The sequence below is a fragment of the Homo sapiens genome, chromosome 6, assembly GCF_000001405.40.
Source record: "Homo sapiens chromosome 6, GRCh38.p14 Primary Assembly".
Lineage (NCBI taxonomy): Eukaryota > Metazoa > Chordata > Mammalia > Primates > Hominidae > Homo > Homo sapiens.
Window position 1 is genome coordinate 26,068,274 of NC_000006.12, and position 16,547 is coordinate 26,084,820.

General features: G+C 42.3%; 2 annotated features.

Moving 5' to 3' along the window:
- Positions 6,737 to 7,237: an enhancer, noted in NCBI's record as "H3K4me1 hESC enhancer chr6:26075238-26075738 (GRCh37/hg19 assembly coordinates)". NCBI's record gives its function as "activates a minimal SCP1, AML or CMV promoter by ChIP-STARR-seq in naive H9 embryonic stem cells {active_cell/tissue: H9 hESC(naive)}" and the evidence as "EXISTENCE:reporter gene assay evidence [ECO:0000049][PMID:30033119]".
- Positions 7,238 to 7,738: an enhancer, noted in NCBI's record as "H3K4me1 hESC enhancer chr6:26075739-26076239 (GRCh37/hg19 assembly coordinates)". NCBI's record gives its function as "activates a minimal SCP1, AML or CMV promoter by ChIP-STARR-seq in naive H9 embryonic stem cells {active_cell/tissue: H9 hESC(naive)}" and the evidence as "EXISTENCE:reporter gene assay evidence [ECO:0000049][PMID:30033119]".

A 16,547-nucleotide genomic window follows, 5' to 3' on the forward strand; every position in this document is an offset into this window, starting at 1 on the left:
TATAGGATTGTTGAAATAAGGTGATATTTGATCTTCAGGTCATATTTCAGTGAAAACTGTGAATGTGTGTTCCAAAATTATAGGGGATTTCTAGAGTTCTGATATCTGAGTTTGTGTCATCAGTTATAATTAGAGTTATTGTGTTAGGCTATTGTAAATCACAGAGGTGACTAAATTTCTTTGTCAATTGTGTTTTTGACTGTGACTACCCTAGGACATTTTAACATTCATAGACAAATGTTGTCTTGTTTTGAAACTCTGCAAAGAATGGATTATAACCCTCAATTGCAGGTTTCTGATAACTTTGAAGATTGTGAACAGGAGTTAACTAGGTGAGCTGAACTATTGGAAAACTAATCTTCTTGACTCTTGCCTCTGTACCTAATTCTTCCTGGATGCAGGACAAGAACTCAGGCAAAGGTGCTGCAGCATAAAGTCTGGCCAGAGAAACTGACACTCCAGAGGTTTTGTAACAATATTTTATGTTAAATAATTTATACGTATTTCCTATTCTAAGCATTTCAAGTGATTGTAAAAACTCAACTCATGAAAACTTATAGCTGAGATGATGTATCCTGTGATTTTTAACTCAACTTTATACCAATCTAAGTTGATTAGCATTCTTACAAAGTTTAAGAAGTTAAGATTTGCCATATTAAGTATTGTCTTAAGATTTTTAAGAATTGAAAAATTTGGAGCAGTTTTGTTCATTAGTCAATTGGATACTTTAAAAGTCCAGTATGTCAGATTTAAAAATTGCAATTTATAAGTTTTCTTCTTAAAGTTCGTCAAATTGCAAAAGCCTTGCCAAAAATGAATGTTAAAAATTTGGTAGATTATTTGTTCTATGGGTTCTATGGGAAAAAATTGGTAGATTAATAAATGCCAATAGTAAGCATTGTAAATTGAATTTAAAAGTTTAAGGAAGAGCTATTAATTTAATTTTGTCATAATAATGAATTGAATGTTGTTTTTTAAGTACCATAGTACTTGCTGAATGATCTTTCTGTATGGAAAAGGACATAAAAATGCACATTGGTAACATCAACTCTATTTCAGCGGCGGGATTGTGGGGTGAGCTTATCTCCAGGTTTGGGAAGGATGTGTTGTATCATCTGCCTCTTGTGTGTGTACTACCTGCCATTGCTGCTTGGCCACCAGCATCCATCTTGGTGAGTCCTGTCTCCCTCTAAAAGACTCGAGCTGTGCTGTTCAATCCAGTAGCCCCTAGCTACATGTAGCTATTGTAATGAATTAAAATTAAGTAAAATTAAACATTCTGCTCCTCAGACACCAGTCACATTTCAAGTGCACAATAGTCACAAGTGGCCAGTAGCTAGTTTTGAACAGTGTGGAAAGATTTCTGTCATCACAGAGCATTCTATTATCACGTTGTAAAGCATTCTCTAGCTCTTGCAAACTTGTCAGATCCCTTAAAAGTTCTTAAAAATAATTCATCATTCGAATTTTGCTCAGACTAATTTTTAGGGAAGTCTTTTTCTGGAGGCGTGGACTTGTGATCTCCATAATTCATCCCTTCTACTATGTTAGTTACCTTGAGCTGCTGTAATAAAATACTATAGACTTAGTCGCTAAAAAAAAAATAACTTTCTCACAGTTCTGGAAGCTCAGAAGTCCAAGATCCAGGTGCTGGCCAATTCAGTTTCTAGGTGAACGCTCTCTTCCTGACTTGTTGGTGGCAGCAGCATTCTCACTATGTGCTCATGTGGTGTCCTTTTTGTGCTTGTAGGGCTTAGGCAGTGGAGAGAAGGAGGAGAGAAAAAGAGGTCTCACTGTTTTCTCCTTTTCCCGAGACAGGTTCTCGTGTAGCCCAGGCTGGACAGCAATGGCTCACTGCAGCCTCCTCCTGGGCTCAAGCAATCCTCCCACCTCAGCCTCCAGAGTAGCTGGAGCCTCAGATGTGTACCACCACACCCAGTTCATTTTTTAAATTTTTAGAAGTTGGGGGTCTCACTATTTTGTCCAAGCTGGTCTTGAACTCCTGGGCTAAAGCGAGCCTCCTGCTTCAGCCTCTCATAGTGTTGGAATTACAGGCATCAGCTGCAGCACCTGGCTCTATTGTCTTTTTTTTTTTTTTTTTTGAGATGGAGTCTCTATCACCCAGGCTAGAGTACAGTGGTGTGATCTCACTGCAACTTCCACCTCCTGGTTTCAAGGGATTCTCCTGCCTCAGCCTCCCAGGTAGCTGGGAGTACAAGCGTGCACCACCACACCTGGCCAATTTTTGTATTTTTAGTAGACATGGGGTTTTACCATGTTGGCCAGGCTGGTCTCAAACTCCCAACCTCAGGTGATCCATCCACCTCAGCCTCCCAAAGTGCTGGGATTACAGGCATGAGCCACTGCACCTGGCCTGTTGTCTCTTTTAATAAGGGCATGAATTTCATCATGAGAGACACATCCTGATGAGTTTGTCTAAATATAATGACTTCCCAAACGCCCCAGCTCCAAGTACCATCACACTGGGGGTTAGGGTTTCAACATATGAATTTTGCGACGGGGAGTCAATTCAGTCCATAGTACCTACTGTATTAGTTTTCTGGGGCTGCAGTAACAAAGTACCTCAAACTCGTTGGCTTAACAACAGATATTTATCGTCACACAGTCCTGGAAGCTGGAAGTCTGAAATCAAAGTATCATCAGGTTTGATTCCTTCTGAAGGCAATGAGGGATAATCTGTTCCAGGTTTCTCTCCCAGCTTCTGGTATCCCCAGACTCATTGCTTGACTTGAATGGTGATTCTCCCTGTGTCTACTCACCACATTTTCTCTCTATAGGTGTCAGTCTCTGTGTATGACATTTCTCCTTTTTATAAGGACACCCTTTATGTTGGGTTAGAGCCCACTCTTATCTTAACTGATGAAGTGCAAAGACCCTATTTCCAAATAAGGCCACATTCACAGGTCCTGATACAGGAGGGGGAAAGTGCTGGGAAGGGAAGGGCATGGTCCCTTTAAATGATATGGAAGTGGGGAAGGGAAGGGCGTGGTCCCCGGCTAGGGCTCCACCCCCAGGCCTGTGCCCAGGGACCACGGTGAGGACAGGCATTTTTGTTTTCCTGCCCAAATGTTGCATTTCCCAAGACCTCCCCTGGCCTGCCACAAGACACGAATAGCTGGACGTCCAGGGGAGCACACTGGCAGAAGAGCACACAACAAACGTTTGCCTGGCAAAATGAGGCGGAATTTGACTGGGGTGGTTGGAGGAGAGCCTGGGCCACTGAGTGGCTGACTCCAAGGGAAAACTTTCCCACTCCATCCACTTTTGGCTTTGCCCAACTGCTGAGAGCTACCTCCACTTAATAAAACCTTGCACTCTTTCTCTAAGCCCAGGTGTGGTCTGATTTATTCCGGTACACCAAGGCAAGAACCTGGGATACAGAAAGCCTTCTTCTGTCCTTGGGACAAGGTAGACGGTCTAATTGAGTTGGTTAACACCAGCTGCCTATAAATGGCAAAACTAAAAGAGCACCCTGTAACACACACCCACTGTGGCTTCAGGAGCTGTAAACATTCAACCCTAGACACTGTGGTGGGGTCATGGGGTTGGAGACCCACAACCTGCCCGTCTTAATGTTCCCCTAGAGGTTTGAGCAGCCAGGCACTGAAGAAATTAGCCACACTCCTATCACATGCCATGCGAGCGGGACAAGGGAACTTTTCCCATTTCAGTACTGGTGGTTAGGACTTCAACAACTTTATTTTTGTGGGAATGCATACTTCAACCCATATTATGAGGGTTCCTAGAATGTGGACTGCTGAGGCTGAAGCACTACCTAAGTGCCTGAGGCCAGCCTGCAGTTGGTTTCTGGCTCTCATGAGTTAGCTAACATCTCGGGAGAGAGGAAGACAGGCCTAGGAAGAGCAGAGCCCACGATTCATTCTTCATTCCACCTCTGCTCTTCAGAATCTCCTTCAGTCTATGTGATGAGCCATCAGACCTCTTGGTGGGAAATGGTGCTGCCGTGCCTAGCCCTTTTCGATTGTGCTACCATGCTGAGATTACTGAGGGACCAGGAAGGCCTGGACTCAGACCATATAGGGTGCCACCCTAGTGGGAATGGAACCTGTCAGTGCTGGGTGAATGTGACCGTCCCATGAGGAGAAGACAGATACTCTTGCCAAGCTGAGCATGGAGACCTGATGGGACACTCATTATCATGAGGGGATGAAGATCCAGGCTTCCAAAGTTGGTACCACAGGGTGGCTATGGCATGAACAGGGGGTTAGGATGAAGGACCCAGAATCTAACATGCTGGAGAGGTAGGGAAAGGAGTCAGAAATTCAGTCTTGTTGAACCCTAAATATTGCATCTCTCTCTCTCTTTATTTTTTTTTTCTGGAGATGGGGGTCTGGCTCTATCATCCAGGCTGGGGTGTAGTGGCATGATCTCTGCTCACTGCAGTCTCCGCCTTCTGGGTTCAAGAGATCCTCCCACCTCAGCTTCCTGAGTAGCTGGGACTACAGGTGCGCGCCACCACTCCCAGCTCATTTTTGTACGTTTTTGTAGAGACACGGTCTCACCATGTTGTCCAGACTGGTCTCGATCTCCTGAGCTTAAGCGATCTGTCGCCTCGGCCTCCCAAGAAGGATTGGGATTACAGGGCCTGAGCCACTGTGACCAGCCAACATTGCATCTAATTTTAGGGTATTCATCTGACTTTCCTGAACACTGCTTCTTGGGTGCTCATTTTAGCAGGCATTTGGCCATAGGTAGATTTAAAGTTTTGGTGGGTTTTGTTGTTGTTGTTGAGACAAAGTGTCACTCTGTTGCCCAGGCTGGAGTGCAGTGGCAAGATCTCAGCTAACTTCAACCTCCATCACTGTGCTTCAAGTGAGTCTCCTGCCTCAGGCTCCCGAGTAGCTGGGATGACAGGTGTGTGCCACCATGCCCTGCTAATTTTTTATATTTTTAGTAGAGATGGGGTTTCGCCATGTTGGCCAGGCTGGTCTGGAACTTCTGACCTCAGATGATCTGCCCGCCTCAGCCTCCCAAAGTGCTGGGATTACAGGTGTGAGCCACAACCCCTGGCCAACGTTTTCTGAAAAAGCTATTCTAATCAGGTAGGAAAGATGGGAAGCGGGGTGGCGGGGTGTACTTTTTTCTGCATATTCAGTTGCAGGGTCCCAGACCAGGGAACAATCTTCAATCTCTTACCTTCAATCTCCCTTCATGGAAGTCAGTGCTCAGCCTGGCCATTTACTGTGTGCAGTAGGTGTGATGTAGAAAGCCTCTAAACCTCCATGCCTACCTGCCAGGAACAATATACACAAAGGTGTGTGTGTGTGTGTGTGTGTGTGTGTATCTTACGGATTCTTCCACGTAACTATGTGGACATCTAATCCATTGCTTCCAACTCTATATTGTGCAGTGACTTCATTTTACCTCCACCTCTCTCAGTGAAGGATATCAGTCAGCCCACACTTTCCTGTCACCTTTATGGGATATGTTTGAGATGATATTTGGAAAATATTCCCAGGGAGTGGGCACTCCCATCAGCAGTGTATGAGGATTCCTGAGTCTCCATATCCACACCAATACTGAGCATTATTCAGCTCTCTAATTTGTTAATGCTCTCTTTTAAATGCAAAAGGACACATCACTTTACCTTTCTTTCATTACCAAGTGCTTTGGATTTTCCTGTATCTAAATTTCTTGTTCATTTATTTCATATATATATATATATATATATATATATATATATATATATATAATTTTTTTTTTTTTTGAGACAGAGTCTCACACTGTCACCCAGGCTGGAGTGCAATGGTGTGATCTCAGCTCACTGCAACCTCTGCCTCCTGAGTTTAAGTGATTCTCCTGCCTCAGCCTCCCAAGTAGCTGGGATTATAGGCACCCACCACCACGCCCGGCTAATTTTTTGTATTTTTTGTAGAGATGGGGTTTCACAATGTTGGCCAGCCTGGTCTCAAACTCCTGATCGGCCCGCCCTGGCCTCCCAAAGCGCTGGGATTACTGGCATGAGCCACCGCGCCCGGCCTCATACATTTTTTATGTGGAGTTTCTGTTTTGTTCTTCTTGGCCTTGTGCATTCTAATTACTCATCCTTTCGTCTGATTCAGACATTTAATTCTCTACCATCCTTACAGCAGTGTCTTAACTTTATCCATGGGATCCTTCATTGAACCGGAATTCTTAATTTTGACACAAACAAATTTATCAATTTCTTTTTTGTGTGTGTTTTTTTTTTCTGTGTGTGGTTTTTGTTTTTCACATTTCTGAGTATGACCTAGATTTATCCTTTGATAACTTCTTCTCTCTTCCCCATTTTCCTCCACTGGAGGTCAGCTATATGTGTGTGAGAGGGTTAGGTATATGTGGATATATAGAGAAAGTTTAGGTATACATATGTGGAGAGGTCAGATAAATATGTATATATGGGAGAGATATTGGGTATATATTTTGGGGAGGGGAGGTCAGGTATATGTGGACATATGGGGAGGGGAGACCACAGCTCTCCTGGAGTCACCCTCTTCCTCTTCCCTTCTGGGCAGGTAACGGTGGGGAGTGAGAGGGTGTTCCTCCCTTCTTATTATTAGCCCCTGGGTACTTTAGGGTCTCTAGTGGTTATTTTTCACAGAATTTTAACTGATAACTAATGAACAAATGTTTTCCCCACAGAAATATCTTTACGCCTTTTACAATCATTTTTATTTTCTATGCCATAACTTTATTAATATTTGCCAATTTACTTGGGGTAGGACTTTGAAAATTTTGTTTAAATTAAGGGAGGAGACCACCCCTCATATTGTCTTATGCCCAATTTCTGCCTCCAAAGAAAGAAAAAGTAAAAATTAAAAGGGAGAAATGAAATCCACAGGCAAACAGCCCGGCACCGCACCCTGGGTCTGGTTAAAGATCGACCTTTGACCTAACAGGTTATGTTATCTATAGATTCCAGACATTGTATGGAAAAGCATTGTGAAAATCCCTGTGCTGTTCTGTTCTGTTCTGATTACTGATGCATGCAGCCCCAGTCACGTACCCGCTGCTTGCTCAATCAATCACGACCCTCTCATGCAGACCCCCTTAGAGTTGTAAGCCCTTAAAAGGGACAGGAATTGCTCACTCAGGGAGCTGGTTTTTGGAGACAGAGGTGATTAACGGACGGTCAAGGCAGCCCCTTAGGCGACTTAGGCCTGCCCTGTGGAGCATCCCTACGGGGAACTCCAGCCAGTTTGAGCGACACAGATCTGGAGAGCGCTCCCAGGTAGGCAATTGCCCCGGTGGAACGCCTCACCAGAGCAGCACGTGGCAGGCCCTCGTGGAGGATCAACGCAGTGGCTGAACACCGGGAAGGAACTGGCACTTTGTTGTCAGGGCATATTCCAAAAGCATTAAGGCCTTCCTATCAAAAATCCTTAACCCAGTAACCCGCGGATGGCCCAAATGCATTCAATCTGTAGCGGCAACTGCTTTGCTAACAGAAGAAAGTAAAAAAATAACTTTTACAGGAAACCTCATTGTGAGCACACCTCACCGGTTCAGAAGTATCCTAAGGAAAAAAGAAAAAAGAAGATGATTTAACATTAACCACTGAAAATTCTCTTAACCCGGCAGGTTTCCTAACAGGGGATCTAAATCTTAATTACCATACAAAGCTCTGACCAGACCTAGGAGGAACTCCCTTCAGGACAGGAGGATAGATGGTTCCTCCCAGGTAATTAAAAAAAAAAAAAAGCCATCTATACCAATTCTAAGTTAATTTGGACTAAATAAGGTCTTATTAATAGCAAAGGATAATTGAAATCCCAAACTTACAAGGTTTTCAACAAAAGTAAAGTTTGCTAAAAGTTAACAGTGTAACATGTATTATAGTAACTTCTAATCTTGTGGCCTTAGACAGTCTAGTCCACAGACATAAAAGAAGTTCGCTTTGGAAAAGAATGGTTATCATCCTCGGAAAAAAAAAAAAGGAAATAAAGAGGAGGCAGAATTTATATAAAAAAGAATGTTGTATGGAAAATCCTTGTCCTGAGATAAATTAACTAGTTGTTTAAAGAAAGGGATGTTTGCAATAAGTCAGAAAGTTGAGGCATGTCGAAGAATTGTCTGTGAAAGTCATGAAAAAAATGTGTGTTAGAAAAATAAATTTATGTAAGAAATGTTGTATAATTTAAAAGTAATTAGGCCTCCTTCTAAATGTAAAACTATTGAATAAACAGTTTATGTGCAAGGTATGTAAGGAAAGTAAAATATACCTTTGGTAAAAGGATTATGAGGATGCATAAGAATGTGGATTTTTACCTACATTAAAAGGTTACAAAAATTGTTTTGAAGGTTTAAGCAAGTTTTGAAACCTTAATTGTAAAGAAAATTCTGTGTCTAAACATATTGGCTAAAGTTAAGGGGTATCATACAGTTTTTCTGTGAACTGAACATTAAAATAAAAACACAACGGGTTTTTCTTAAAGCACTAACCTGTTCTTTAACAAAAATTATAAAAGGTTAAAGAAAAGTCTATAAAAATCTTACCTTATGGTCAGACATTAAAAATCAAATAAATATGTCTACAGAGTTTTATTAAAACTAAGTTTAACATTAATAACACACCAATATAAAGGTGAAATCTAGCTTATCTGGTATAAACATACAAGAAGCGTTGTCAAATATAAAATGGCATTTGACTTTCTTTGGTCTAAAAACTAATAAAAATAGGTGCTAAAGGAAATTTCTCAGTAAGAAGGCACCAAGGACTATAAAGTCCACTGCTGATGTCCCCACATTTAAAACAAAAGGTCAACTTCTTAAAAGTTATATACTTGGTTTATCTTCCACTTTCCTTTCCCTCAAAACTAAAAGTCTTTTAGCACATGTACCACCCCTAGAATTTTCTGTAAACCAGCACCAGCCTGAAGATCATGTTCTCATCAAAGGGTGGAAAGAAGGAAAACTTGAGCCAGCCTAGGAAGGACCCTACCTTGTGCTGCTAACCACCGAGACTGTTGTTCATACGGTGAAAAAGGGATGGACTCATCACACCCGAGTCAAGAAAGTGCCACCCCCTCCAGAGTCATGGGCCATAGTCCCAGGGGAAAACCCTACCAAACTAAAGCTAAGAAAAATTTAACTCCTTCATCTATTCTATTACTCTTTCTTCTTCCCTCACTCTATTTCTGACCATCTAGTTATTAACATAACCAAGTCAATTTTGCCTCAAACTATTGAATTTAATGCTTGCCTTGTTATACCCTGTGGGGACTTGCCAAGTCGAAGACATCTCTGTACTTCAGAAAAGTACCTCTGTCCCTCCTGACTCTCCTCAGACTGAGCCTTAGTAAACTGAGACCATTTATTCCAGAGAGATTTCAATAAAGACCCCAGTGTCAACGAGGAGTCTTGCCCCCCGATGTAGAGCTTTTATGCCATAGTTGGTCGAATGTTGTGTGGACCACTAAAGAGCAAGGATGGACTGCCCCAACCGGTTTTTGTAATTTCCTAAAATCATACATTCATTTTACTAGAGGGTCATAGAAGTTAAAGACTTAAAACAAACTTTGATAATTAAGCAGGATACCAAGATGCAAATGCCCAGTTGGAATGGATCAAATATTCTGTCCACACATTAAACAAAACCAATTGTTATGCTTGTGCACATGGCAGGCCAGAGGGCCAGATTATCCCCTTTCCACTAAGGTGGTCCTCCTGTTGACCAGGCATGGGCTGCATGGTAACTGTTTTCCAGGATTCTACAGCCTGGAGTAATAAGTCGTGCCAAGCTCTCTCTGCTATATCCCAAAGTCCAGCACCCTGCAGGTCAACCCCTGAGGGCCATCCAGCTTCCATCTCCCAAAACTAAGTTCACTTCTTGTCTCTCATGACAGGGAGGAAACTTAGCATTCCTTGGAGACCTGAAGGGATGCAGTGAGCTTAAGAATTTTCAGGAGCTTCTCAATCAGTCAGCCTTTGTTCATCCCCAAGCGGATGTGTGGTGGTATTGTGGTGGACCTTTACTGGGCACTCTGCCAAATAACTGGAGCGGCACTTGTACTTTAGTCCAATTGGCTATCCCTTTCACCCTAGCATTTCATCAACCAGAGGGAGGAAAAATAAGACATCGTAAAGCAAGAGAAGACCCTTATGTGTCTTTCAACTCTCACATCTATTTAGATGCAATTGGAGTCCCACAGGGAATAGCAGATCAATTTAAATCCCAAAATCAAATAGCTGCAGGATTTGAGTCAATATTTTGGTGGGTGACAGTTAATAAAAATGTAGATTGGATAAACTACATCTATTACAACCAACAGCAATGAGTTTTTCATGAGTTAAAAGAAAAACTCATGTCGGCCCCAGCCCTGGGGCTACCTGACCTGACAAAACCCTTTACACTCTATGTGTCAGAAAGAGAAAAAATGGCGGTTGGAGTTTTGACCCAGACTGTGGGGCCCTGGCCGAGGCTGGGCCTCCAAACAACTAGATGGAGTTTCTAAGGGTTGGCCTCCATGCTTAAGAGCCTTGGCAGCAACAGCCCTGCTAGCACAAGAGGCAGATAAGCTAACTCTTGGACAAAACCTAAACTTAAAGGCCCTCCATGCTGTGGTGACTTTAATAAATACATCATTGGCTAACAAATGCTAGATTAACCAAGTACCAAAGTTTGCTATGTGAAAATCCCTGCATAACCATTGAAATTTGCAACACCCTAAAACCTGCCACCTTGCTCCTGGTATCAGAAAGCCCAGTTGAAAGTGACTGAGTAGAGGTATTGGACTCAGTTAATTCTAGTGGGCCCAACTTCCAAGACCATCCTTGAACATCAGTAGACTGTGAGCTGTACGTGGCAGCTTCGCCAACGCCTGCAAAGTGACTGAAGAAGACAACAAGCCCTGCTCCAGTCACACCCGGAAGCTGACTGGTCCATGCATGGCCGAAACATGAGAAAACTCATCAAGGGACTCATTTTCCTTAAAATTTGGACTTGCACAGTAAAGACTTCAACTAACCTTCCTCAGACTGAGGGCTGTTCCCAGTGTATACATCAAGTCACTGAGGTAGGACAAAAAGTTGCTACAGTCTTATTATTTTATGGTTATTATAAGTGTACAAAGACTCTAAAAATAACTTGTTTGTATAATGCTATTCTATACAAGGTAGGTAGCCCAAGAAATGACCAACCTGATGTGTGTTATGACCCATCTGAGCCTCCCACGACCACAGTTTTTGAAATAAGATTGAGGACTGAGGACTGGTGGGGGTTCATAAACGATACGAGTAAAGTGTTAGCCAAAACAGAAGAAAAAGGAATGCCCAAACAAGTCACCTTGAAATTTGATGCCTGTGCTGTCATTAATAGTAATAAGTTAGAAATAGGATGTGGTTCTGTTCATTAGGAAAGAGGCTATATGGCAGAAAATAAGTACGCTTGTCATGAATTAAGACTGCGTGGAAATAAATGTAGATACTGGTCTTGTGTCATTTAGGCAACTTGGTTAAAAAATAAAAAGAATCCTGTCCACCTTCAGAAAGGGAAAAGTGGCCCTTCCTGTACCAGTGGTCAGTGTAACCCCTTAGAACTAGTAATAACCAACCCCCTTGATTCTCACTGGAAAAAAGGGGATCGTGTAACCTTAGAAATAGTTGGGGCTGGACTGGATCCTTGAGTAAATATGGTGGTTTGAGGAGAAGTTTATAAATGCTCCCCTGAGCCAGTATTTCAAACCTTCTTATGATGAACTGAATGTGCCAGTACTAGAAATTCCAGGAAAAACAAGAAATTTGTTTTTGCAATTAGCTGAGCATGTAGCCCAGTCTCTCAATGTCACTTCATGTTATGTATGTATGTGGAGGAACTGTAATGGGAGATCAATGGCCATGGGAAGCACGAGAATTAGTACCTACAGACCCAGTTCCTGATAAATTCCCAGCTCAAAAGACTCACCCTGATAACTTCTGGGTCCTAAAAGCCTCAATCATTAGACAATACTGTATAGCAAAAGTGGGGAAGGACTTCACCCTTCCTGTGGGAAGACTCAGCTGCCTTGGGCAAAAACTGTATAATAGTACTATAAAAACAGCCACCTAGTGGAGTTCAAACCACACTAAGAAAAATCTATTTAGTAAATTCCCAAAGTTGCAAACTGTGTGGACCCACCCAGAGTCCCACCGGGACTGGACAGCCCCCACTGGATTATACTGGATATGTGGGCATACAGCTTATGCCAAATTACCTGACCAGTGGGCAGGTAGTTGTGTTATTGACACTACTAAACCATCTTTCTTCCTACTGCCCATAAAGACAGGCAAACTCCTGGGCTTCCCTGTATATGCTTCCCGCAAAAAAAAAAAAAAAAAAAAAAAAAAAAAAAAAAAAAGCATAGCTATAGAAAATTGGAAAAATAATGAATGGCCCCCTGAGAGAATCATACAATATTATGGGCCTGCTACTTGGGCACAAGACGGCTTGTGGGGATATGGGACCCCCATTTACATGCTCAACTGAATCATACGGTTACAAGCTGTCTTAGAAATAATTACTAATAAGACCAGCAGAGCCCTGACTACTGTGGCCTGGCAAGAAACTCAGATGCAAAATGCTATCTATCAAAATGGATTGGCTCTCGACTACTTGCTAGCAACTGAAGGAGGGGTCTGTAGGAAATTTAACCTTACTAATTGCTGTCTACACATAGATGATTAAGGGCAAGTAGTTGAAGACATAGTTAGAAATATGACAAAAGTGGCACATGTGCCCATGTAGGTGTGGTATGGATTTGTTTCTGGGGCCATGTTTGAAAAATGGTTCCGAGTGCTAAGAAGATTTAAAACTCTTATAATAGGAGTTATAATATTAATAGAAACCTGCTTACTGCTTCCTTGTTTGCTACCTGTACTTCTCCAAATGATAAAAAGCTTCATCACTACCTTAGCTCACCAAAATGCTTCAGCACAAGTGTACTATATGAATCATTATCAATCTGTCTTTCAAGAAGACATAGGTAGTGAGAATAAAAGTGAGAACTCCCACTAATGAGTGAGATTCTCAAAGGGGGTGAATAAGTGAGGCGACCACCCCTCATATTGTCTTATGCCCAATTTCTGCCTCCAAAGAAAGAAAAAGTAAAAGCTAAAAGGCAGAAATGAAATCCACAGGCAGACAGCCTGGTGTTGCACCCTGGGTCTGGTTAAAGATTGACCCCCGACCTAACCGGTTATGTTATCTATAGATTCCAGACATTGTGTGGAAAAACACTGTGAAAATCCCTGTTCTGTTCTGATTACTGGTGCATGCAGCTGCCAGTCACATACCCCCACTTGCTCAGTCGATCATGACCCTCTCACACAGACCCCCTTAGAGTTGCAAGCCCTTAAAAGGGACAGGAATTGCTCACTCAGGGAGCTCGGTTTTTGGAGATGTGAGTCTTGCCAAAGCTCCCAGCTGAATAAAGCCCTTCCTTCTTTAACTCAGTGTCTGAGGGGTTTTGTCTGTAGCTTGTCCTGCTACAAAAATAAGTGTTAAACATGAGTTTTATATTACCTCATAGGTGGAAGAAGACAGGCCAAAAAAGCTGTTTTAACAACAACAAAATGCACAAATATTTATACTAACAAGACAGATATCCATTGCAGTATGACACGAGAAACAAATAAATGAGACAAGCAGTCAATTCAGACATTTTAGGAAGTGATTTTTACAGAACATAGTGACAATTGCTGAGATCTGGTAGCCTTGCAAGATTCCTTTGTTATAATAAAAATAACATTGGCAAAGACCATTTTATGATGCAGACTTCTGCTTTTTTAAAGTTTGGGGGGAAGGGGAAACATTTTTATTCTATAATGCTGAAATTTCATTTTTCTTTTCTCTTTTTTAAGACCAAGTCTTGCTCTCTCACCAAGGCTAGAGTGCAGTGGCGTGATCTCAGTTCACTGCAACCTCCACCTCCCGGGTTCAAGCAATTCTCCTGCCTCAGCCTCCTGAGTAGCTGGGACTACAGGCACCATGCCCGGCTAGGATAACATTTTTTGTTTTTAGTAGAGATGGGGTTTCACCATGTTGGCCAGAGTAGTCTAGAACTCCTGACCTCAAGTGATCTGCCCGCCTCATCCTCCCGAAGTGCTGAGATTACAGGTGTGAGGTACAGCATCTGGCCTCATGCTGAGATTTCTTTCATTACCAGTTCAAACACCTTTCACTTTTCAAGGCACAAGGAGAGGAATTCCATGTGTTGACACTGGGAGGAAGGGTACAGACCTACTTAAAAGATTCAAAACTTCTATGACAGTAAAAGAAATGTATATCAAGTTCCTTAGGGCTGCCGTAACAAAGTACTATCAACTGGGTGGCTTAGAACAAAAGAAATTTATTCTCTCACAGTTACGTAGGCCAGTTGAGATCAAGGTATTATCAGGGCCAAGATCCCTCTGTAGCCTCTGGGGAAGGATTCTTTCTTGCCTGTTTCCACTTCTAGCAGCTTCCTGTGTTTGGTTTGTGGCAGCATAACTCCAATCTCTGCCTCCATCTCTACCTGGCCATCATCCCTCTGTGTCTGTGAGGACCCCAGTCATTGGTTGGAGGACTCACCCTATTCCACTATAATCTCTTCTTAACCAGTGAACTCACCGTATTCCAGATAAGGTCAGGTTCACAGCTACTGAGGGTTAGGACAGAGTATCTTTTGGGGAGATGCAATTCATCCCATAAGTGGGTGGAAAAGGATGATTAACAAGTGGTATGTGGGGATGTATTGTTTTGCATCTACGTAGCTCTCACCCCATTTCTTTCCACAACACACATTTGTCACTCTATTCTTTATTAGGTTTACAGAGAAAAGTAGATCTTCAACCACTTTCCTGGGATGTGGATACAGCTCTTTTTTTGGAGACAGGGTCTCATTCTGTCACCTAGACTGGTGTGCAGTAGCACTATCATGGCTGACTACAGCCTCAATGTCCCAGGCTTAAGTGATCTTCCCAACCTCCTGAGTGGCTGGGACCACAAGTGTGTGCCACCACACCTGACTAATTTTATTTTTTAATTGTTTTGTGAAGACAGCATCTCCCTATGTTTCCCAGGCTGGTCTTGAATTCCTGGGCTCAAGCCATCCTCCTGCCTCGGCCTCCCAAAGTGCTGGGATTACAGGCAAGAGCCTCCATGCCTGGCCTTCAACTCTTGACCTTATGAACACAGCCCTATACCAGTTCCCTTCATGCATGTGCCTATAAGCTAAACCCTTTCCCAAGTGTACATGAAAATCTGAACCCCAACAAATATGGCCTAATTCTAAATCTGACTTTCCCAGGAGTAATTTTTGTCATTTCCAGCTTACCAGCCTTTGTGAGTGTTGAATTTCAGCATTTCTGTTTGCTTGCAGCAGAAGGTGGAGCCAGGATAGGGTGGCTCAAGATTAGAGTTTCTTCCTTAACAGTTCAGTCAACTTTTTAATCTTGGATTTATAGCTTCCTACCTGCTCTCTTAAAGGTGAAATGATCTATTCACCTTCAGACCATTTGCCCTCGGGGTCTCACTGAGCAATCTATGGCTTAAGTCTTCTAAGTCTCTTAATGGCCAAATACAATGGACAATTTTCAGGTATATCTGACACCATTTCTCTGCAGCCTTTGGCACCTATAACCACTCCATGGCTTCCACAATGTGATTGGTCATTTCTTTTTTGTTTATATGACAAGTTTTTATTCTTCTTCTGCCTGTTAAATGCGCCTGACCCCCAGTGTTCTGATTTTCACTATTTTTCTTAAAAAAAAAAGTTTAAATGAAAAAAGTTTCTTATGAAAATATTAAAACATATACAAAAATAGAATAGACATTGATAATAGATCCTAAAATTCCTAGGGAAATTCAGCAGACTGAGAATAGCTAATATAGTCTTCCAAAAAAAGATCAAATTTGAAGTTGAGAAACTTCTTGAATTCAATTTACTAAAAAGCTATAGTAATCAAGACAGTGTAGTCCTGACATAAAGATAGGATTATAGTCTGGGTGTGGTGGCTCATGCCTGTAATCCCAGCACTTTGGGAGGCTGAGGTGGGCAGATCACCTGAGGTCAGGAGTTCCAGACCAGCCTGACCAACATGGTGAAACCCCGTCTCTACTAAAAATACAAAAATTAACCAGGCATGGTGGCAGGTACCTGTAATCCCAGCTGCTTGGGAGGCTGAGGCAGGAGAATTGCTTGAACCTGGGAGGAGGAGCCAGTGGCCGGGATTGGGCCACTGCACTCCAACCTGGGCAATAGAGTGAGGCTCTGTCAAAAAAAAAAAAAGATAGGATTATAGATTATAGCATAATGGGATAAAATTGAGACTCCAGAAATAAACTCTCACATTTATGGTAGATTGATTTTTGATAAGGGTGCCAAAACACTTCAATGAAAAAAGAGTCTTCTCAACAAGTGATGGTGGAACAACTGAATAACCACATTTTTGTTCTATCTGGGGCCCTGATTCAAAAACCCAGGCAAAGATGGAGAGAAATCAGAACTCTCATACACTGCTGATAGGAGGATAAAATGCTTACTTTGGAAAAGAATGTGGCAATTCCTCAA